Genomic DNA, 23,060 nt, shown 5'->3' on the forward strand with positions numbered 1-23,060 from the left:
TTAGACTTTTAAAATACTCTGTAATCCTCAAATCCATATGCATACATACATTCAACCTATAAGACATAGAAATAGGTAAAAGGAAACATATATACATAAATCTTCCTTGAGATCCAGAGGTAATTGTAAGTCAGAGATTGGGGTGCTGAATTGGGACTGTGATGCTAGGCTCTCTAGACTTTCACTGAGGCTAAGCGAATCATCTTCAAATGCCTCATTGGTGCTGCAAGTCTGTGACACAATTTAGAGGGTGATTATTTGCCTCACAGAAACACTTTAAAATTCCTTTAAGTTACTTCTTTATTCATTGGATATGCTTATTTATAGACCCTTAAATTATCATTTACCAAGGCTGGAGCAAGAGAAACTTCCAGCAAAACTGTTATTTCCAATTTGAGAGATCTAGCAATGGAGGAAAAATATTTCTGAAATCTTACTATGTCAGTGAGAAATTTACTGAAATAGCTTACACAGTATAACTTAGGGAACACATCTATTGAATAAGACTAGATTGACATGTATGGATAAAGCCACATTACAGATAAAGAATTCAGATTGGGGTAATCACTTGCTCAATAGCATCCAACCAACAAACCCTGTATTAAGGACTCATGCCCTGTCCTTGTTTAGTGTTCTTTCCGGAAGACCATACTGTATAGTACCAAGGAAGTGCCATATATAGAGGTTATTACTATCTGGGTGGTCAGGAGTCCTTAGTCCTAGTATGTGCTTCAGCACAGTTAACTATACCCTGATACATTAAAAACCATGTATCTTTGCCTTCTATGGAATAAGAATGTTAGACTAGATTAGATCTCTCTAAGCTCTAAAAATGTATGATTAAATTACTTAATATGCTTAATGTGCTTGGTGACTGTTTTTAAACTTGAGATGAGCCGTTAAACTTTTTCAGACTAAAATTTTAAAAATCCAGTATAAAACTTTTTGGATCACCTAACTCCTTAATTCTTGCTAGAGTTCTGCACAGTGGGTATCCTTCTAGCCTTAGTGTAACTCTTGGCATTATATAGCTTGTTTTCCTTATCCAAATGACATTAAGTCCTTTGAGTCACATTGGAGGTTCTGCTCTCAGACCTGAGCCCTTGACTTCTAGTTGTGCTAAACTTGTCCTACCAGTGATGCAGCTAGTAGTACAAACAAAAGCAATCACAGATTTCAGTCGTAAAAACAAGAACAGCTGAAATACAAGCTGTCCATTTACTTAAAACCTTTTATAGGCTTTACTAGAACATAAAGTTCATTAACTTTTTTTGGCAGCATTAATAAAGAGGTCAAAAAAATGAAAAAAGAGCAAACTCCTCTTGGAATTTGAGTGAAATTATAATTTAATGAAAGTGAATGCCTCATAATTTTTTTTTTTTTTTTTTGAGATGGAGTCTTGCTCTGTCGCCCAGGCTGGAGTGCAGTGGCACAGTCTTGGCTCACTGTAAGCTCCGCCTCCCGAGTTCCCGCCATTCTCCCGCCTCAGCCTCCCAAGTAGCTGGGAATACAGGTGCCTGCCACCACGCCCGGCTAATTTTTTGTATTTTTAGTAGAGACAGGGTTTCACTGTGTTAGCCAGGATGGCTCGATTTCCTGACCTTGTGATCCACCCGCCTCCGCCTCCCAAAGTGCTGGGATTACAGGCGTGAGCCACGGTGCCCGGCCTCAAAAATTTTTAATGAAAAAATTATCTTCAAGAGATAAGCTAAAAGTCTCACAGGAATTTAGATCCCTCCTCCCCTGCCGCATACTCCTCTACCTGTTTTTGGTGTAGTAATCCTTCTTAAAGCTTTTCTGGGCTAGGCACAGTGGTTTATACCTGTAATCTCAGCACTTTGGGAGGCTGAGGTGGGAGGATTGCTTGAGCCCAGGAATTCGAGACCAGCCTGGGCAACATAGCAAGACCTCATCACTACAAAAAATATACAAAAATTAGCCAGTCATGGTGGCGTATGCCTGTAGTGCTAGCTATTCAGAAGGTGTGAGGTGGAAGGATTGCTTGGAGAATGAGTACCCATATTAAAGCAGGAACAGAATGCTATTGAGGACATTCTGAGCTATGATGGCATGCCAGCCTGGGTAACAGAGTAAGACCCTGTCTCAAAAAAATAATAATTAAAATTTAAGAAAAAAGCTTTTCTGAATGAGGTGTAACAAGGACAGAGTTTCTGGTACTAATGTGTCAATGATTGCTATTATAAGTTACTGTGCCTAAAATCAGTTTTACTCAGAACTTGGACATTTGCATAATAATGTTACTTAAACTACAATTCTAGGTCAGCCTAAAAACTGTTGTGTTAGGATTAAAAATTAGACACAGCATTTGTTCAGCTTCCATTTGTTCAGCTTCCAGCTCTATAGGGGGAATATAGGAGTATAAACATGGATGCAGTGGGATTCACACTGTGATCCGTCTGACTGAGAGCACTTGTTCTTTCTACTACAGCATGATGCCTTCTTCTGTAGAGTGGGCGCTTTGCAGAATACGTGTTGAATGAAATCACTGATCTAGGAAAAGTAAAAATTCCTCAAATGAATACAGAATACTTGTGCTACTGCTGATGATCAACACTTTATACAGTGCCTGGTATACCAAAGGTAGTCAGTAAATGTTTGTTGAATGAATAAATGTGCATTAAAATGCTATAAGTGCTCTTATTTAAATGTTTTAGTGTTTTATGTTAATAAAAGAATATGTATTTTTACTCAGTTGAATTGTGACTATAGCTATAGATGTGCCTATCATATTGATCTTCTATGTAGTTGTATTAATTTTGGTTGCTGATGATAAAACTGCTGCTCATCTAGATAAGAAAGGGTCTTTGGAACTTCTGTGCTCTTTATATCATTATTTCAAGCCTGGACTATTTAATACTTGAAAGTTTTTATAGATTAACTACTGGCTTTCTAATGGACTGTTATTTGGAAGGAAATTTTAAGGTTATCAACTCAAACTTACCTGATGCTTAAATAAGCATCACCACCATTACAACATCCACTATTACTTTCATTATTACATGCCAAGCACGATGCATTTTACACATTGCCTCTGTGAATCCTCATATATGATACTGTATTTGAGGTATTATCCCTACCTTTTCAGTTCAGGAAACTTAGGGTCAATGAGGATAAGCAAGTTCCCAAAAGTGGCAAAGCTAGATAAGAAGCCAGGTCTGTCTGATCCTAGGCCCATGCTCTTTTCACTTATTATACTGTCCTCAATAGCATTCTGTTCCTGCTTTAATATGGGTACTCATTCTCCAAACAAGTTTGTTTCATTCTTGAATTACTCTTATTAATAGAAAGTTTGGTTTTTTAGAAATAATACCTATCCCTCTGCCTCTTACTCTATAGTTTATTATTTATTAAATGTCTCTCTGAATCCTAGAAAAATGACTATAGACATAGAAATTTCATCCTACTTAAAACGGGCTTGGGTCAACATTTTTGTGTATTTTTTTCATCTTTTTTCCCCCCACCTTTTGAATAAGGTTGTGGCGTGGATTTGTTTTATATAATTCTAACATAATTATGTATCCTGTGTTTATTTATTTGGCTCTCCATCTTGAACATTTTTCCCACTTCTGTAGTTGCCATTTAGAAATATATATATATATATATATATATATTTTTTTTTTTTTTTTTTTTTTGAGACAGTCTTGCTCTGTCAGCCAGGCTGGAGTACAGTGGCATGATCTCGACTCACTGCAACCTCCCTCAGCCAGGCTGGAGTACAGTGGCATGATCTCGGCTCACTGCAACCTCCCTCTCCCAGGCGCAAGCAATTCTCTTGCCTCAGCCTCCCGAGTAGCTGGGTTTACAGGCATGTGCCACCACGCCCGGCTAATTTTTATATATTTTTTAGTAGAGATGGGGTTTCACCATGTTGGCCAGGCTGATCTTGAACTCCTGACCTCAGGTAATCCGCCCACCTTGGCCTCCCAAAGTGCTGGGATTACAGGCATGAGCCACTGCGCCTGGCCCAGAAATACAATTTTTAATTCACTGCCACATGACAGTGAATTCTGGGGCGTAGATTTACCTTAAGACTCCTTTTTTTACTAGGCATTCAAATGAGAAGTAACTCATTAATGACTATCTTTGTGCATACATTGCTTTTTGTATTTAGATACATACTGAACATGATTCCTCACAGCTTTTTACAGATACCTGAGTTACAGAGGTTTGAAATATTGTACTTACTTGAAACTTGATCTGGCTTCCAGAAAAGGTGCAGTGGTTGCAATTTTAAGAAGGCAGCAGGTTTCATCATAAGCCATCTTCATTTCACCAGTCCTGTATCTCTGGCTATGGAACTTTATGTCTTAGAGGTGGCAGGATGGGCATATAGGTAGTAAAAGGGGCGTATGACCCATATGTGATCGCTGAGGAATGGATAAAAAGCAAATAGAAGTACGTAAACGTAGATACCCTTAATTACTACTACAGAGCTTGAAGAGTGAACATTTTATTTCTCTAAACAGCTTGTTACATGTTCTTTTTAAGTTCAGTCAAATTGCATAGGAACTTATTTTTAAGTAGAAGATAGATTCTGAAGCTTTATGTATACGGATTAAAAATTGAGGCTAAAATTTGATCTTATTTTAACTTTATAATATGATAGGATTTCTAGTGCTTTTAATACTTCCTCTCCTTTCTTCCTTATCCAAAGTCAGCTCCCTACACTAAAAATACTTAAATGCCCACTAATATTGTCTAATGTTAAATGAAGAAAACTAGTTGCAGAGAGGTATATATATATATATATATATATATATATATAGTATGATACCATTTAGGTTAAAAAACACAACAAAAGCAAAACTATGTGCCTGGCATCTCATAGGTACTCAATATGCTAACTATGTACATGTGCATCTCAACAAATCTGAAGGTATATAATCCAGAGTGTTTGGAGGGGTTACCTCTGAAAAGAGGTGTGTGATCTGAGGTGTGTTTTTATTCTATATGCCTCTATGTTTGAATTTTTTGCTACTTTTTTTTTTTTTTTTGAGATGGAGTCTCGTTCTTGTCACCCAGGCTGGAGTGTAGTGGCACAATCTCTGCTCCCTGCAACCTCCGCCTTCTGGGTTCAAGCGATTCTCCCGCCTCAGCCTCCCGAGTAGCTGGGATTACAGGCGCCCGCTATCACGACTGGCTAACTTTTTTTATTTTTAGTAGAGACAGGTTTTCACCGTGTTGGCCAGGCTGGTCTCGAACTCCTGACCTCAGCCTCACCCTTCCAAAGTGCTGGGATTACAGGCATGAGCCACCGCGCTCAGCCTTACTTTTTTCTTTTAACAATTAAAAAAAAAAAAAAATAGAAGAGGCCAGGTGCAGTGGCTCACACCCACAATCCCAGCACTTTGGAAGCCCGAGGCAGGAGGATCGCTTGAACTCAGGAGTTCAAGACCAGCCTGGACAACATAGCAAGACCTTGTCTTTACTAAAATATTAAAAAAAAAAAAACAAAAAAAAACTGAATGTGGTGGCATGTGCCTACAGTCCCAGCTACTCTGGATGCTGTGGCGGGAGGATTGCTTGAGCATGGGAGATTGAGGCTGCAGTTAGCTATGATCATGCCACTGCACTCCAGCCTAGGTAACAGAGCGAGACCCTGCCTCAAAAAAAAAAAAAGGAAGAAAACTTTACACTCTAAGGATAAATAAAATACCTTCTCAAATAAACCCACTGCTTCTTTATACCCTGAAATGCATGTTGAGCAACATGAGACACATTCTAACTCTATAGAATTATTGCTTCTTTGATAATTCAAGAAAAGACAAAGGCACTGATCAAACTTGTTTGGTGCCATTTCTATATAATCTAATAAGGTTGTTGTTGTTGTTGTTGTTGTTGTTGTTTTGAAACGGAGTCTCGCTCTGTCGCCCAGGCTGGAGTGCAGTGGTGCGATCTCGGCTCACTGCAAGCTCCGCCTCCCAGGTTCATGCCAGTCTCCCGCCTCAGCCTCCTGAGTAGCTGGGAATACAGGCGCCCACCACCACGCCTGGCTAATTTTTTTTGTATTTTTAGTAGAGACAAGGTTTCACTGTGTTAGCCAGGATGGTTTCGATCTCCTGACCTCGTGATCCGCCCGCCTCGGCCTCCCAAAGTGCTGGGATTACAGGTGTGAGCCACCACACCCAGCCCTAATAAGGTTTTTTTAAATTTTTATTTTTGGGATAGAGTCTCACTCTGTCACACAAGCTAGAGTACAGTGGCGTGATCATGGCTCACCACAACCTCAAAATCCTGGGCTCAAGCCATCCTCCTGCATCAGTCTCCCGAGTAGTTGGGACTGCAGGTGCATCATCATGCCTGGCTAATGTTTTTTTGTTTTGTTTTGTTTTGTTTTTAAGGCGAGATCTTGCTATGTTGCCCAGGCTTAATAGGGTTTTTAAAATAGATTATTTTAACAACACATGGCCAATCTTGTATCATCTATTGCTCCCCACACCCACCCCATTTATTTTTAAGCATATCTCAGATGTATCATTTCATCTGTAAATACTAAAGTATATATATCCAAAAGATAAGGATTCTTTTTAACACAATCAAAATACCTTTCTCACACTTAAAAAATGAGCAATAGCTCCTTAGTATTAATCATTTAATAAGTTTTTCATACTTTACAATCTAATTGTTAACTTTCAGTTTAAGTTGCTGTTTTATTTACTTTCATTACTCATATCCTTCAAGAGTTGTTTTCTTTTTTTTTTTTTCTTTTGAGACAGAGTCTTGCTCTGTCATCCAGACTGGAGTGCAGTGGCGTGACGCAACTCACTACAGCCTCTACCTGTCGGGCTCAAGTGATCCACCCACTTTAGCCTCCCAAGTAACTGGGACTACAGGTGATGCCACCACACCTGGTTAATTTTTTAAACTTTTTTGTAGAGAAGAGGTCTCACACTATTGCCCAGGCTGGTCTCAAACTCCCGAGCTCAAGCAATCCTCCTGCCTCGGTCTCCCAAAGTGTTAGGATTACAGGCGTGAGCCACTGCACTCGGCCTCCTTCAAGTATTTTTAAATTAATGTCTTTTTTTCTGTTCAAATTTAGTGTACATGTTCCCCCCAAGAGTTGTAATGAAACTAAAACTGTCTTTTGCTTTTGATGCCTTTGTTCAATATGAAAAGCCTGAATAAATGGCTGGATGTCTTCATCTTCAAATTTAAAAAATGATTCAAGTATATATTATTGAGTTTTATTAGAATGGAAAGCTCTTAATTTCTTGATTGTAATAGCAGTCATGCAAGTCACAAATCATGATAAAAGTTAATTTTGTCAAGTGCTTTTCTATATCTTGTTTGACTTTAATATTTTTGTTTTACATAGGTCTCTAATTAACAGAAGATGGCAAAGCCCAGCCACAGCAGCTATGTCCTTCAGCAGCTAAACAACCAAAGAGAATGGGGTTTTCTCTGTGACTGCTGTATTGCAATTGATGACATTTACTTTCAAGCACACAAGGCAGTTCTAGCTGCCTGTAGCTCCTATTTTAGAATGTTTTTCATGAACCATCAGCATAGTACTGCACAACTGAATCTCAGCAACATGAAAATTAGTGCAGAATGTTTTGATCTCATTTTGCAGTTTATGTATTTAGGAAAAATTATGACAGCTCCCTCCAGTTTTGAGCAGTTTAAAGTGGCAATGAACTACCTACAGCTATACAATGTTCCTGACTGTTTAGAAGACATCCAGGATGCAGATTGTTCTAGTTCAAAATGTTCCTCTTCTGCTTCCAGCAAACAGAACAGCAAAATGATATTTGGGGTAAGAATGTATGAAGATACTGTGGCTCGAAATGGCAATGAAGCCAACAGGTGGTGTGCAGAGCCAAGTTCAACGGTAAATACACCACATAATAGAGAGGCTGATGAAGAGTCTTTACAATTAGGTAATTTTCCTGAGCCACTATTTGATGTATGTAAAAAAAGTTCCGTGTCCAAATTATCTACTCCAAAAGAACGTGTGTCAAGACGCTTTGGGCGGAGTTTTACCTGTGATAGCTGTGGATTTGGCTTTAGCTGTGAAAAATTATTAGATGAGCATGTGCTAACCTGTACTAACAGACATTTATACCAAAACACAAGATCTTACCATAGAATAGTAGATATTAGAGATGGAAAAGACAGTAACATCAAAGCTGAATTTGGTGAAAAAGATTCTTCCAAAACATTTTCTGCACAGACGGACAAATACAGAGGAGACACAAGCCAGGCTGCTGATGATTCAGCTTCAACCACTGGAAGCAGAAAAAGTAGCACAGTGGAGTCTGAAATAGCAAGCGAAGAGAAAAGCAGAGCTGCTGAGAGGAAAAGGATTATTATTAAGATGGAGCCAGAAGATATTCCTACAGATGAACTGAAAGACTTTAACATTATTAAAGTTACTGATAAAGACTGTAATGAATCCACTGACAATGATGAATTAGAAGATGAACCTGAAGAGCCATTTTATAGATACTATGTTGAAGAAGATGTCAGCATAAAAAAAAGTGGTAGGAAAACTCTAAAACCTCGAATGTCAGTAAGTGCTGATGAAAGAGGTGGTTTAGAGAATATGAGGCCCCCTAACAACAGCAGTCCAGTACAAGAGGATGCTGAAAATGCATCTTGTGAGCTGTGTGGACTTACAATAACCGAGGAGGACCTGTCATCTCATTACTTAGCCAAACACATTGAAAATATCTGTGCATGTGGTAAATGTGGACAAATACTTGTAAAGGGTAGGCAGCTTCAGGAACATGCTCAACGATGTGGCGAGCCCCAAGATCTGACCATGAATGGGTTAGGAAATACTGAGGAGAAAATGGACTTGGAAGAGAATCCTGATGAGCAGTCCGAAATAAGAGATATGTTTGTTGAAATGCTGGATGATTTTAGGGACAATCATTACCAGATAAACAGTATCCAAAAAAAGCAGTTATTTAAACATTCTGCCTGCCCTTTTCGATGTCCTAATTGTGGCCAGCGTTTTGAAACTGAAAATCTAGTGGTTGAACATATGTCTAGCTGCTTAGATCAAGATATGTTTAAGAGTGCCATCATGGAAGAAAATGAAAGAGATCACAGACGAAAGCATTTTTGTAATCTGTGTGGAAAAGGATTTTATCAGCGGTGTCACTTAAGAGAACACTATACTGTTCATACTAAGGAAAAACAGTTTGTTTGTCAAACATGTGGAAAGCAGTTTTTAAGAGAGCGTCAGTTGCGACTGCACAATGATATGCACAAAGGCATGGCCAGGTATGTCTGTTCCATTTGTGATCAAGGAAACTTCAGAAAACATGACCATGTACGGCATATGATTTCTCATTTATCTGCTGGTGAGACTATATGCCAGGTCTGCTTTCAGATATTCCCAAATAATGAACAGTTGGAGCAGCACATGGATGTTCATCTGTATACATGTGGAATATGTGGAGCAAAATTTAATTTGAGGAAAGATATGAGATCACATTATAATGCCAAGCATTTGAAAAGAACCTGAGTGATTTTCTACTGTACTAATGTTTAGATGATAGCAGATAAAACACCAAAGCAAAGGATATGAGCTATTTAGGAATTGATTATATAAGATGATTTGTTAGAAACAAATTTCAAGGCCCTTTTAACTTTAATATTTTTGTTTAGGATTTTAAGTATCTACATTTAGGTATTAAATGTTTATCATTTTTGTTGTTTCTTAATAGAATTATTTGTTTTTAGTTTTTCTTAGCTATGATTAAAATTTTTAAATGTAGACTACAAGTGGTTGTTACCCATTCAATGACTATTAAACTTTAGTTTTTCATCAATAAGGTGATGACTTCACTATTTCTATGTGTTTTTTTTTTTTTAAGGTTATCCTGTGAAATTTTAAACCCAGAATCATTGGCCATTTCTGTTTAAATTTTAAAAATTCCTTAAGTAATTATTTGAAACTATCCCGTTTGCTTTTAGTGAGTTAACTACTCTTTATTCCCCCTTATTAATGAAATTCATATTCTTAAATTGACAAGCTTATTAGGCAAGTTAGGTGCACTGAATCTAACCTTTAAGGTTGACATGGGCTCAAACTTGGCCTAAAAAGATTGATGAACCTGAGGAAATTTTTATAAATGAATATTTCCTATAATTGATAAAATATTATCATTTAATTATCACATTTAAAACTTATATTAAGTGTAAATTCCAGTGGCTTTACCTCACTTGAAAAATTAGTGGGGATAAGCCATTTTGTTTTGTGATATTAAATTTAACTATGATAGTTAATTAAAAAGACATATCTTGTATTCATTAAAAATATTTTAATTTAAAATATTCTGATTTCTAAAGTGTGTTAGCTTATCAATTATTTTTGTTTATAAATAGACTTTAATAGCTCTCTAAGAATATGACCTCTAAAGGAAAAGATGATTTTTTACAATACATACTTCTGGAACTTTGAGATTTGAGAAAGCTTCCATGTATATTGATAAATCTAATAAAATAAAGAGATCAATTATAAACCTGGTTGTTCTATAAAAGTAGAGTGCACAAAAAAATGTCTTGTGTTTTATACTGTCTAAGATTTGGAGGAAATGTGGCAAATTGCAGTTTATCGCCATATTTTATTATCATTTTTTTCTGTAAAAGACTATAAAACTTGAGGATTATAAAATAATCACAGAGTATATCAATGGAAACAGTTTATCATTTTTTCAGTTAAAGTAGTAGTATTGTTAGTTGTTGCTGACACAGGGTCTACATAATTACATGTGAATTAAAACATTGGCAAAACTGACCCACCAATAAACACATCTATTGAATAGAATGCCTTTTAATGTGAATTACTTGCAATGTAGTACCCTTTTCATAATGAAAGGGATTTTAATTAACTCCTAATTTTAAAAATATAAATTTGTGATTCTGAACACTAATAGCATTGCTCTTTTTGTTCACATCATATTTAAAATATGCAAATCATATTTTGTATACAATTTACATAAAAGAACAAGTTGCCAAAAGAACTGAGAGACATACTGGTGAGTACAGATTTAGTTGAAAGCATTAGAGCACCATGTGAGCTCAGATTTGTGGGGATATGTTGAAGTGTTAAGTAAGGATAGGAACAGCACAGGAACCAAGTGCAGAATTCAAATAACGGGAAGTAGGCAGGGGACGGGTAGAATACACACAAAAATTAAAAATTTAACAGCAAAAGCAGGAAAAGTGATTCATCTTACCCTTACTTAGATACAATAGTTTATCAAGTAATTAAATTTGAAATCCAACTTAAAATGAAATGTGGTATGTATATTACTGATAGGAACCAGATAAAAGTTCTCTAACCCAGAGACCATCAGAGAGTGGTATAAAGAGATCAGATAAACCAAGTTTCCAAACTACAGTATATAGTATCATAATGGACATAATTTATTTGAGATCACTTTTTTCGTGACTCATCAAAATTTTTCTTGCAGTGGCTTTCCCCATTGTTAAAGAATAGGGCTTTTTCTAAATACTACCACTTTTTGAAGAAACGATTATCTATTCCATTAGGAAGGGGGCTTAATTTAGTCTTTTGATATGTACTAACAGCTAACAATTAGCAAGCAAATATATAAACTTTACTCTCTAATTTTACATGACTGAGATGTTTATAGTTTTAGAAAGCCATACCTCAACTTATTTTTTATTTTATTTATTTATTTTTCTTTTTTGAGACGGAGTCTTACTCTTGCCCAGGCTGGAGTGCAGTGGTACAATCTTGGCTCACTGCAACCTCCACCTCCCAGAATCAAGCAGTTGTCTGCCTCAGCCTCCTCAGTAGCTGGGATTACAGGCGCATGCCACCACGCCCGGCTAATTTTTGTATTTTTAGTGGAGACAGGGTTTCACCGTCTTGGCCAGGCTGGTGTTGAACTCCTGACCTCGTGATCCACCGGCTTCAGCCTCCCAAAGTGCTGGGATTACAGGCATGAGCCACCGTGCCCGGCCACCTCAATTTTTTTTTCTGAGTTTCATGTTACACAGAACATACCTTTTTGTTTTGGAGCTAGCTACAGGGAAGCACAGGCTTCTCTAGAGTGGAATGTACAATTCTTATCAAGGCAAAAAGTTAAAGACTACTTGCTTTTTAAAATTAGGGAGAATGAAAAATATCCAGCACTTTTCCCCAGCCCAGTTCCCTAATATCTCCTTCCTCTCCTGGGGCAGAGCTGCAGAGCTGTCATTCCTTGCTGTTGCTTCTTGCCCTCCCTGGGTGTGAAGGTAATGAAACAAGTGTGTTGAAGCTGCCAGATCTTCTGCCTTTGTAACTTAGGTGTTCAGGTTCCAAATCTAAAAATGAAAGGAGAATCTACACAGATATATAGTGGAATCAAATTCTCTTTCTGTCTCATGAACACCATGAGACTCTTTTGCTTTGGCCCTTTTATTCTACACAGCAAGAAAACCCAGAGGAATGGTTAGCAAGCTTGCCATCAACTATAGTACAATACAACTTGCATGTTCTACGATTCCTTAGTAAACAGGACTAAGAATCTCAGAAATTAATAGAGCACAACCAAGGCAGCAGTAGATTAGGACTCAGAAATGCGTCTTCATCTCCCCCATGTTTTTAAGGTAAAAATATTCAGAGGCCAGGTGTGGTGGTTTGCATCTGTAGTTCCGGCTACTCGGGAGGCTGAGGCAAGAGGATTGCTTGAGTCCAGGAGTTCCAGACCAGCCTGGGCAACATAACAAGACCCTATCTCTAAAAAAAAAATTTGTTTAATTAGCAGGGCATGGTGGCATGCAGCTGTAGTCCCCAGCTACTCAGGAGGCTGAGGTGGGAGGATCAATAGAGCCTAGGAGTTCAAGGGAGCAGTGAGCTATGATCATGCCATTACACTCCAGCCTGGGTGACAGAGTGAGACTCCATCTCTGAAAAAAATTAGAAATGACGCACATGGGTTAAATGGTATATGGCAAACTAACAGTTTGAGTATGGACAAAAATTCAATTAGAAGAAAGGATCCCAGAGGGGCTAATAATTTAAAAAAAAAAAAAGTTTGCTAGAGCAGTCAGGACACTAATTAAAAGGAAAAGTAGAGGCTGGGCACCAGCACCTTGGGAGGCCAAGGTGGGTGGATCACCTGAGGTCAAGAGTTCGAGACCAGCCTGGCCAACATGGCAAAACCCCACCTCTACTAAAAATACAAAAGTTAGGCCAGGCGCAGTGGCTCAAGCCTGTAATCCCAGCACTTTGGGAGGCTGAGGTGGGTGGATTGCGAGGTCAGGAGTTCAAGACCAGCCTGGCCAACATGGTGAAACCCCATCTCTACTAAAAATACAAAAAAATTAGCCAGGCATGTTGGCACAAGCCTGTAATCCCAGCTACTTAGGAGGCTGAGGCAGGAGAATTGCTTGAACCCAGGAGATGGAGGTTGCAGTGAGCCAAGATCACACCACTGCGCTCCAGCCTGAGTGACAGAGCGAGACTCCATCTCAAAAAAAAAAAATTAGCCAGGCGTGGTGGCGCGCACCTGTAATCCCAGCTACTTGGGAGGCCAAGGCAGGAGAATCTCTTGAACTTGGAAGGTGGAGGTTGCAGTGAACTGAGATCATGCCACAGCACTCCAGCCTGGGCAACAGAGCAAGACTCCATCTCAAAAAAAGATAATAATACACACGAAAAATCATGTTTTACTGTAGCTGAAAAATATATGAACAGGATATAAAAATTGAATAAAAAACATTTGAAAATTATAGGTGAGATGAGTAGGGATTAAAAATAATATGACTATAATTATAGAATGCCTATGGAACAATTTTATGAACATGCCAAGGATATGCCTAAATAATTGAGATTTTTGTAAGTAATGATGAGAGAGGAAAAAGTAATTGAGATATTATCTTTTATATTCTAAAAAAAAGTAGGAAGAGAAGCTGGTGGTGGTTGACAACTTTTTCCCTGGTTAAACAATACTCATTTCTCTAAGTCAGTAGTTAAGGAACTTTGTATTTAATAAATTTCTGGAAAATCTTCCCCAAAACCAGTTTAGCCATTGTAATATTTAAATTAAACATAAAACTTGTGTCGTTGTTAACAAAAAGCCAAATCACTACCAAAAGAAAAAAATCTGAGTGTATGTGCACACATGGTTAAGAATAAAGAAATCTGGTATACCTAATTTTAACTGGGTTTTTATCATGAATTAAAAGTTAAAACATTTTTCTTTTCTTTTTTTTTTTTTTTTTTTTGCCATTCATCTATTTTGATCAGTTAGTTCCTCAACTTTCCTTACTACTCCCATCTCCTTTGTAACATATACTTCTCAGTAATAAATGGCCAGTGCTCTCCAGACATCCTAGCATCAACAACTTCTGGGATTGCAGGGTACCAAAAAGCTCTGGGGGAACATACCCTTGTAGAATCCCTCCCACATCCTTGATAACCTGAGGTGCAGTAAACTGGGGATGATAGGATGAATGCCAGGAAACTAAAACAAGTAGGGTTATATTTGGTGTTAAGAACTTGAAATTGCATCCCATATTTGGAAACCCATGATCCATCCATCCTAGGGCTCTCACTTAATAACCCCAGCATCCATTTATTTAGCACTCTCTATACTCTGCAAAGTGCTCTACATACATAATTTTAATTAATCCCCACAGCCTTATGAGGTAAGTATCATACTAATTTTCCAGATGGGGGACTGAGGTTCAGAGAGATTATTTTTCCTAAATCACACAGAAACTATGTATCTTAGAACTGGAGTTTGAACCTAGGTTTCTGACTTCTACATTCCTGTACTCCACCTATCAAGAAGTACAAAGAAGGGCCTTTTCAGCCTAGAAACACATGTGATAAAGCTCCTATGAGATTGTGCTCCTTGTTCATCTGTCATCTGCTGTGCTGGTAAGGTGGCTAGTAATAGTGGGTACCCAATTAACATGCTGAATAATGTGAAAACGTGAGTGGAAAACAAAACTTTATTTAAATGGTTGATTCAGAATGATGTTTTAGAAATAAATATTAAATGCTGTTATGTTTTGATTTTCCTTCATTTAAACTTAAAACAGTTAGTGGTACTGTCAGCCTTTTTGAGGGGCCCATAGTAGGTGGGCTCAATTAAAAATTAATTTGAATTCAACTTCCACATTTCTATGTCTGTGACCTTTTCTTCCTTTATTTCCCCTATTCCTGTCCTTTATGTTTTAATCTCTCCCGCCAATCTCCATTTCCTTTTATTGGTTATAAGACTGTTGAGTTGAAGGACTCAAATCATTTGAAAATAAATATTCCCAAGAAAAAGCAGGATAACAGAATAACCAGTTTCCTCTTTTTGCCTTAACAGATTATGTGGATAAGAAATTCATCATCTTAGCCAGGCACAGTAGCTCATACCCATAATCCCAGCACTTTGAGAGACTGAGTTGGGAGGATTGCTTGAGCCCAGGAGTTTGAGACTAGCCCTGGCAACACAGCGAAACCCCATCTCTACAAAAATTTAAAAATTAGCCGGGCATGGTGGTGCATGCCTGTAGTCCCAGTTACTTGGGAGGCTGTGGTCAGAGAATTGCTTGAGCCTGAGAGGTCAAGGCTGCAGTGAGCCGTGGTTGTGTCACTGCACTCCAGCCTGGGCAACAGAGCGAGACCCTGTCGCAAAAAATAAAAACAAATAAATTCATCATATCTTTGACTAATAAACAGAAGAACCCCCTTCCCCAGTTACCATAGGTGATTGATTTGATTAAGATTTATAGAGCAATCTAAGTTTGCCTAAAAACAAATGTTGGTTAGTCTAGCCACTTATAATTCAATTTCCCAAAATACCTATGGATTTTTAGGGTAAACTTATAGAGACAGTTTTACTCATAAAACAAATGAAAGATAATTTCAGGAAATGACACATAGCTGCATAACCACCCTAACCTAGCAGCAAACTTTAAAAAAGGTTATTTAATGGTTTAAGTGAAACAATCTCCCTCAATCTAATATTATTTTAACTTTATGCGTCTATTACCTTATTTCTATACTACTATGTTAAACCTACTACTTTAATGATCTGGCTACCGTCTGCCAAATGTCACTTTTCAAGTGAGAACAGAAGAATGAGATTGTGAAGATTCTGTGGACAATGTCTATATAATCATTTAAGTGTTAAATATAAACTAAATGACAATAGCAGCTTGTAAATTAATGCTAATTCTGGCTGGGAGCAGTGGCTCAGGTGGCTCATGCCTGTAATCCCAGCACTTTGAGAGGCCGAGGCAGGTGAATCAGCTGAGGTCAGGAGTTCGAGACCAGCCTGGCTAACATGATGAAACCTCTCTACTAAAAATACAAAAAATTAGCCGGGAGTGGTGGCACATGCCTGTAGTCTCAGCTACTCTGGAGGCTGAGGCGGGAGAACCGCTTGAACCTGGGAGATGGAGGTTGCACTGAGCTGATATCGTGCCACTGTACTCCAGCCTGGGAGACAGACTCCGTCTCAAAAAAAAAAAAAATTAATGTTAATTTTGAACAAACTTAATATCACTTACATTTATATGCACACAATTGGTTGAATTTAGCATTAAGAAGTTTAAATCTTACTTAAGTTGTTCTCTTATTCAGGAGAACCAAATCACTGAAGTCAATTAGTAGTGTCAAAATTGCTCATTCTTTCCATCAAAATCTACCACAGATCACTAAGGGACAGAAAGCCATTATAATTTCTCATTATCCATCTCAATTGCTGACCAAAAAAGATAGTATGAAGATTACAATTAAATACTTGGCTCTGAACTGAACATATCAATGTACTAATCATTATTGTATTAAGTGAAAACACAGGAATGTCTAGGGCCAAGGGATGACCAAAATTTAAAAGATTATTTCATATCAGAGTCAGGGATATTAATAATTTTATGTGAGAAAATTTGCAGTTTGTTTTCTCCTATTTGAGGAAGGAACAGTTAATTATACAGCTTAAAAAGCCCCTACTTACTTAAAAAGTTAACATGTTTTTATTCTCCTTAAACTAACTGCTCATATCAAACACAATCAGGAGAGCTCATTTTTAGATGATAGAAACATTAATTCTAAGCATCCAGATTATGAACCATCTTTTTTTTCAAATGCTTATGTTTAAAAAATTTTAAAAAAATTAAGGATCTTATTATGAGGGAAAAGCACTGTTGCCAAAAATATAATTTTACTCAGAATCACTAGGGCAGATTAGGAGGCTTATAAGCCTAGGAATTTGCAGGAAAACCCCTCCTCTTCTTTTGTGCGTGTATGTGTGTGTGCGTGTATGCTTCATTTTCATTTGCAGAGTGGCTGAAGACAGTAAAAAGAATATGAACTTTAAAAAAATTGTTAGATTTATGTTTCAATCAGAGATTTGTCATTAACAAGTTAAAGTACATTGTAAAATCATTTTATTTGAAGGAAAACACTTCTTAACTGCTTCCTTCCTCCCTACTTTCCTCTATTTGTCTGACCCCTATCTTTTTTTATGTTATATATTTATATGTCCTGCTGATAGATTAATAAGAACATCTTATATTTGAATGGTACGAGTTACATTCGGGAAATAATTAAATTTAAATTCTAGGGGCTATGCTTGTGTTTCTATTCTCTGTTCTGTTAACAGTGTGTTGGCCTAGTGCCAAAGCCAAGAAATTCTGATCTAAGAATTATGTTGTATCTTGTAGAGCAGTCAACTTGTAATATTATTTTTCTTGAGTTTTGTCTTTTTCTGTGTGGCAGTGGTGAAATAGGGCCTTCTAAACCTGTGGAGAAGTGAGAGATCTGAATTTGGAGAGGACATGGGGAAGAATCAATCTTCAACAGATAATCTTTAAGTACAGACCCAGGAATATCAGATCTGAAGTGGCACCATCTTTTCTGTCTTCCTGACAAACTTCCATCAACCCAAAAAGTTCCAGTTGCAAAGATCCAAGAAAACTCAGTAAAGATCACTTTGGAATCACTTTGTTGTAACAAAATTGATTCATGGTGACTCTAATATTTGTGTAAATCTGCTGAAGAAAAGTAACTAGAAAATTCATACAACATCAGTGGTTACAGCTATACTAAAATAAAACTTTATATGCTAATTATCTTCAAGGGTCTTTCTAAAATAAAAGGGGTTGTTAGGCTACTGCAAATATAAAGAGACATAATCACAAATCTATTTATATAGATATAAATAATTCTAAACTTAAAATCACTAGAATTATAGCTTAAATATTATGAAATGTACTTAGTCAACTTAAAAACTTACACCAAAAATCTGTAGTTTAGAGTGTAAGAAGTAATGGGTACAGAGAAAAAAAATTTAAGACCAATATTTTAACAGGATAATTTGGTTATTACTCACTATAGTAAAACACTTGCCCTTCTTCCTTTTCCACTGTATATGCCAGTCACAATCTTGATCATTTATATGAATGAAACTCCCTTTTAAACCTGTTAACTTGAAGGAGAACAGAAATGGTATTACTTCAATAGTGGTAGATTTCCACAAATCAGACACATTATTTTCTTCTGAACTTGGCAATATAACCTAATAAGGCAGAATAAGTTTCTGTTAAAATACTTATTCTCAATATTTATGTATAAACCATGCTTCTCAGCTTTCAAATTTCAAGATAAAATTTAAGTATTCAGTAAAATGATGGTTAACATGTTTTAAAAAATCTTTAATGGAGAAGTTAAATATTTGGTGAGATTTTAGTCTGGCTATAAATGCTTTGTTTGATATATATATGTGCACATATATATATTACTTAACCATATGAATTTTATTTCCTTATTCTGAATATACTTGTAGTTTTACTTCTTTCTGTTTATGTACCCAATTCCTTATGATTATTTTGTTTCTTCTGCAATATCAAGATGTTATTTATTTTGAGAAATGCTTATTTTTATGACTATTTATTCCAATGTTTTAACAAGAAGCACAGAGATTTATAGTATTCTTAATAGTATGTGCAGAAGTTACATCATTTAAAAAACCCTTGCTGTAAAGTAGGATAACTTGAATATTCATTCTAATAATTAGACTAAGTGAAAATCTGAGAAAGAGTTAATTGCAATGTGATAGTGGGTAGAAAGGAGAGAAAAACCCACTGAAGGGTTCAAATACATGTGAATTCTACTGCTTTAAGAGAAATAAAACAAATAAGCCTAGGGAAATATTAGAGTCTAAAAAACCCTAGAGTTAATCTCTTTTGGGAACATAAGGAGGTATACAGAACTGCAGACCTCTAAACATAAGTAGGAAAAAGAAAAATAAAAGAATATTACCAATAATTAAAGGTGCCAGATCAAAATAGTAATAAATCAACAAATAATTTTTGATTGACTGGTGGAATTAGATTTACTAAATAAAAATGGCTTAAATTTTGACTGTACTAACTATAAATGTAATGAATTATAATAATTATAAATGGTATAAATGCATTCTACAATGTGATTATTTTCTGTATTTTAGTATATAGTATAAAATGGAATTATTGGGTTAAAGTACTTTTATTACATTTCTTAATCCATTGTTTTTACCTAATAAAATTTCCTCCTCTATATTCCAAAGTTAAATTGTCTGTATATTACTTTTATTTATACTGTATTTTTTCCAATCTGGCCATTTAAAAAAATTATTAGTTTGAAAATTATTAACTCCTTCCATCCTCTAATACCACAATAATAAAGTATCTGATATAGCTAATTATGATGTTCTCAGGTAGCTTAAGATGTGCACAAAGAGAATTAGCTAAAATTCTTATTGCCAGATCCTGATTTCTTTCAATATAGAAGAATGATCTGTTACTCAGCCTGGAAAGTAGTGCCAAGATTATAGCTCACTGTAACCTCAGACTTCTGGGCTCAAGGGATCCTCCCACCTTAGCCACCCTAGTAGCTAGGACTATAGATTCCCACCACGATGCCTGCTAATTTTTAAAATTTTTTGTAGAGATGGGGTCTCCCTGTGTTGCCCAGGTTAGTCTTGAACTCCTGGGCTCGAGTGATCCTCCTGCCTTTGTCTCCCAAGTGCTGGGATTACAGGTATGAGCCACTGCATCTGGCCTGGATTTCCTTCTTAATACACAAAGAAATAATTATTTATAAATATCCATTGATAAAGTGTTTAGCTCTTTCAGAGGCTTAATTCATTTTTCAAGTAAACACAATTTACTGTCAGAGAAATAACTACTTTGCCAGTATAATTCATTTTTTTTTCAGTTTAAGAATTAAATAAGTATTAACAATAATTGCATATTGAATCTGATTCTCCAAGTATAGGACAGCCTCACTTCTTCCAGATTATTTCAATCTATTCCACAAGGGTCTATAAGGTTAGCACTAAAAGTTGAAGTAGGTATAATTTGTCTGCTGTTGTCATAGATTAACTTCTCTTTTGGAAAAAGCCTTCCAGGTTCAGGTCTCTTACCCTTCCATACCAGGCATGGAAATGTCTTACCCCAGCCTACTGTGTATCTACAGCTTAAGTGTAACTTCAAGACTGAATTTTTTAAGACTCAAAGAAACAAATGGCAAGTTTTTTCCTGTAGTGATAGGTGAAGAAATATTTTAGGACACAGCACTTTGTAAGAATTATAAAATGGCAGTATTTATAGAGATCTTAAAGATAATCATTAGTTGAATTTCAGTTTGCTCAAGGGCCCTCAAATTAGAGGCTGTTATTCCATCTTTTCTTCAGGCCAACATTATCTCCTTAAGATAATCTACAACCCTTGTGAAGGTTGTTCCTGGGTAGAGACTGAGAGGATTTTAGGAAAATTCACGAGTTGGGGTTTTTTTCCCTAGTAATTCTGCAAAAATGTATTATTGCTCAGTCTCCTTAGGGCAGGTCTAACACCCAGGCACATAGTTTTAGGCCGTATCTTATTCACCTTTGTATCTCTAGTACAAATATTTTCAGATATGAATTTGTTTCAACTTTTGGTCTCTGCAGTGTCATTTAGTACAGAAATATAAGAGGTAGGCAGTGTATCTTCCTACTATAAAGAAAAAAACTAAATTTTTTTTTTGTTAAATAATGTGTCTCAGGTCACTTTTAATAAATACTAAGCTAGTGATTTACTACTGCTTTCCAGGCACTCTTCTGGGTGCTAGGAATTAATTACAGAGGATTTGACATATGTTAAAGCTCTTGTTTTTTCCACCATTTAATCTGTGGAGCCTTAGTCTTTGGATTTTAAAAATACTTTGAAACACCCTAGTATTTATAATCTGCCAAAGAGAGAGTTCACTTGTTGAAAATCAGCAATAATTTCTATGTAAGACTAATAGACTTTGTTTCAACTGTTGATATGGTTTGGCTGTGTCCCCACCCAAATCTCACCTTGAATTGTAGCTCCCATAATTCCCATGTGTTGTGGTGAAAGATAATTGAATCATGGGGGCGGTTTCTCCCATACTATTCTCGTGGTAGTAAGAGCTGATGGTTTTATAAGGGGAAACCCCTTTTGCTTGGTTCTCATTCTCTCTTGCCTGCTGCCATGTAACTGGTGGTAGTGAGTAAGATCTGATTTTTTTTTCAGCATCCAAAATCTTTTTATTAAGAGGGTAGGATCCAAGGTTAGTTTTTGTAGCCTCGGCTGGCCTGTCGGCCTCTGATGCACTCGAACTTCCAGCCCTTGGAGCAGACATAGGGTTTGGTGTGGCTGTGCGGGGTTCCCGGGCCTTGCTGAAATGCTGGTACACCTTTCGGCCCTTGCAAATACTGGAGAGCAGGACAGTACCGCAGCCCTCGGGGGAGTCCACCCCTTTTGCTTGGTTCTCATTCTCTCTTGCCTGCCGCCATGTGCCTTTCGCCTTCTGCCGTGATTGTGAGGCCTCCCCAGCCATATGGAAGTGTGAGTCCACTAAACCTTTTTTTCCCTTATAGATTACCCAGTCTCGGGTGTCTTTATCAGCGGCGTGAAAATGGACTAATGTAGCTGTTAATAGTCAAGTTCTCAAAATCAATTGTAAAAGCACAGTAAGGAAACTTAGAAAAATTACTGATAATTCTACCTTCTAGATAACCAATTTTGATGCATTTTAAATCTATATTAGATTATCCTACATATAAGAAGATACAAGTTTCATATATTTTATTCACTTAATTATACCAAGAACATTTTTCCGTGTCATTAAAAATCTTGTAAACCATTTTTACGGCTGCGTAAGAATTCATCATATGCATGTACTATAATTTAGGTAATCTCTTATTTTTGGATATTTAAACCATTTCCTTTCTATTATCATTAACATAAATAATACTACCTGCATTTTCTATTATTTCCTTAGAATAAATCCCACAATGAGTAATGCTAAATAAAAGGCATGATCATATTTAATGTAAAGAAAAAATATTGGCCAGGTGTGGTGGCTCACTACTGTAATCCCAGCACTTTGGGAGGCTGAGACTGGTGGAGAGCTTGAGCTAAGGAGTTCGAGACCAGACTGACCAACATGGCAAAACTCCATCTCTACAAAAATACAAAAATTAGCCGGGCTTGGTGGTGCATGCCTGTAGTCCTAACTACTCCGGAGGCTGAAGTGGGAGGATCGCTTGTGCAAGCTGTGAGCCTGCCACTGCATTCCAGCCTGGGTGACACAGCAAGTCCCTGTCTCTTAAAACAAACAAACAAATTTTTAAAAACCCAAAATACAAATACAGTGTCTTTTTTGGGAAAAGCTTAGGATGCCTCTTAAACTATGGAACATACAAAACACAAGTTAGGGCAGAAAAAAATATACATGGCTAATGAAAATGTGGGTATAATTGCTACTGTGGTTTCAGAAACCTGTGTTAAAGATGAATGTGGTGGTCAGATTGCAAGATGTGTTTGTAATATCTGGGCACAGAGGTAGCACAGTTATTGTGCAAAAGAAACTATTCCTCTGAAGCTCTAATTTTAGTGATTCTATGTGAGAACTCTGGCCTGCTTGCTCTTTTGCAATCTTGGTTTGCTTGAGGTGTGTTGAGGGCTGACTGAATGCAAGAGATTTAAAGAATTTGTGTTTCTCACATTCTTTGTTTCAGTTGTAGCTGAGACTGTATCTCTAAGTCATATATCATCAGTTCTACAAAGAATATGCATTG

General features: G+C 36.8%; 2 protein-coding genes and 1 long non-coding RNA gene across 30 annotated transcripts in view; 2 read left to right on the plus strand and 1 right to left on the minus strand.

The window, feature by feature from the left end:
• ZBTB1 (zinc finger and BTB domain containing 1) overlaps positions 1-19,543 on the plus strand; it is a 29,978-nt gene extending 10,435 nt beyond the window's left edge. For 14 of the 28 annotated variants that reach the window (XM_047431093.1, XM_047431095.1, XM_047431098.1 and 11 more), the window contains 2 exons: positions 2,450-2,601; positions 7,337-10,801. In XM_047431093.1, the coding sequence (XP_047287049.1) occupies positions 7,355-9,496 (2,142 nt within the window). In that variant the 5' untranslated portion in view covers positions 2,450-2,601; positions 7,337-7,354 and the 3' untranslated portion in view covers positions 9,497-10,801. Of the gene's footprint in view, positions 1-2,449; positions 2,602-7,336; positions 10,802-17,710 lie in introns of those variants that run through there. The other 14 variants (XM_047431106.1, XM_047431102.1, XM_047431086.1 and 11 more) reach the window with 3 other exon arrangements.
• Positions 1-23,060, minus strand: part of HSPA2-AS1 (HSPA2 and ZBTB1 antisense RNA 1) — a 26,218-nt gene continuing 3,158 nt past the window's right edge. Inside the window, exons 2-4 of the long non-coding RNA NR_110550.1 lie at positions 18,324-18,419; positions 4,207-4,388; positions 1-231 (exon numbers count right to left, since the gene is read on the minus strand). This is a non-coding gene — a long non-coding RNA (HSPA2 and ZBTB1 antisense RNA 1). The remainder of the gene's footprint in view (positions 232-4,206; positions 4,389-18,323; positions 18,420-23,060) is intronic.
• The window catches only part of HSPA2 (heat shock protein family A (Hsp70) member 2), a 7,333-nt gene continuing 6,027 nt past the window's right edge, over positions 21,755-23,060 (plus strand). Inside the window, exon 1 of the mRNA NM_001387931.1 lies at positions 21,755-21,825. The gene's annotated coding sequence lies outside the window, so the exon portion shown is untranslated. The remainder of the gene's footprint in view (positions 21,826-23,060) is intronic.

The sequence above is a fragment of the Homo sapiens genome, chromosome 14 (genome assembly GCF_000001405.40).
Source record: "Homo sapiens chromosome 14, GRCh38.p14 Primary Assembly".
Classification (NCBI taxonomy): domain Eukaryota; kingdom Metazoa; phylum Chordata; class Mammalia; order Primates; family Hominidae; genus Homo; species Homo sapiens.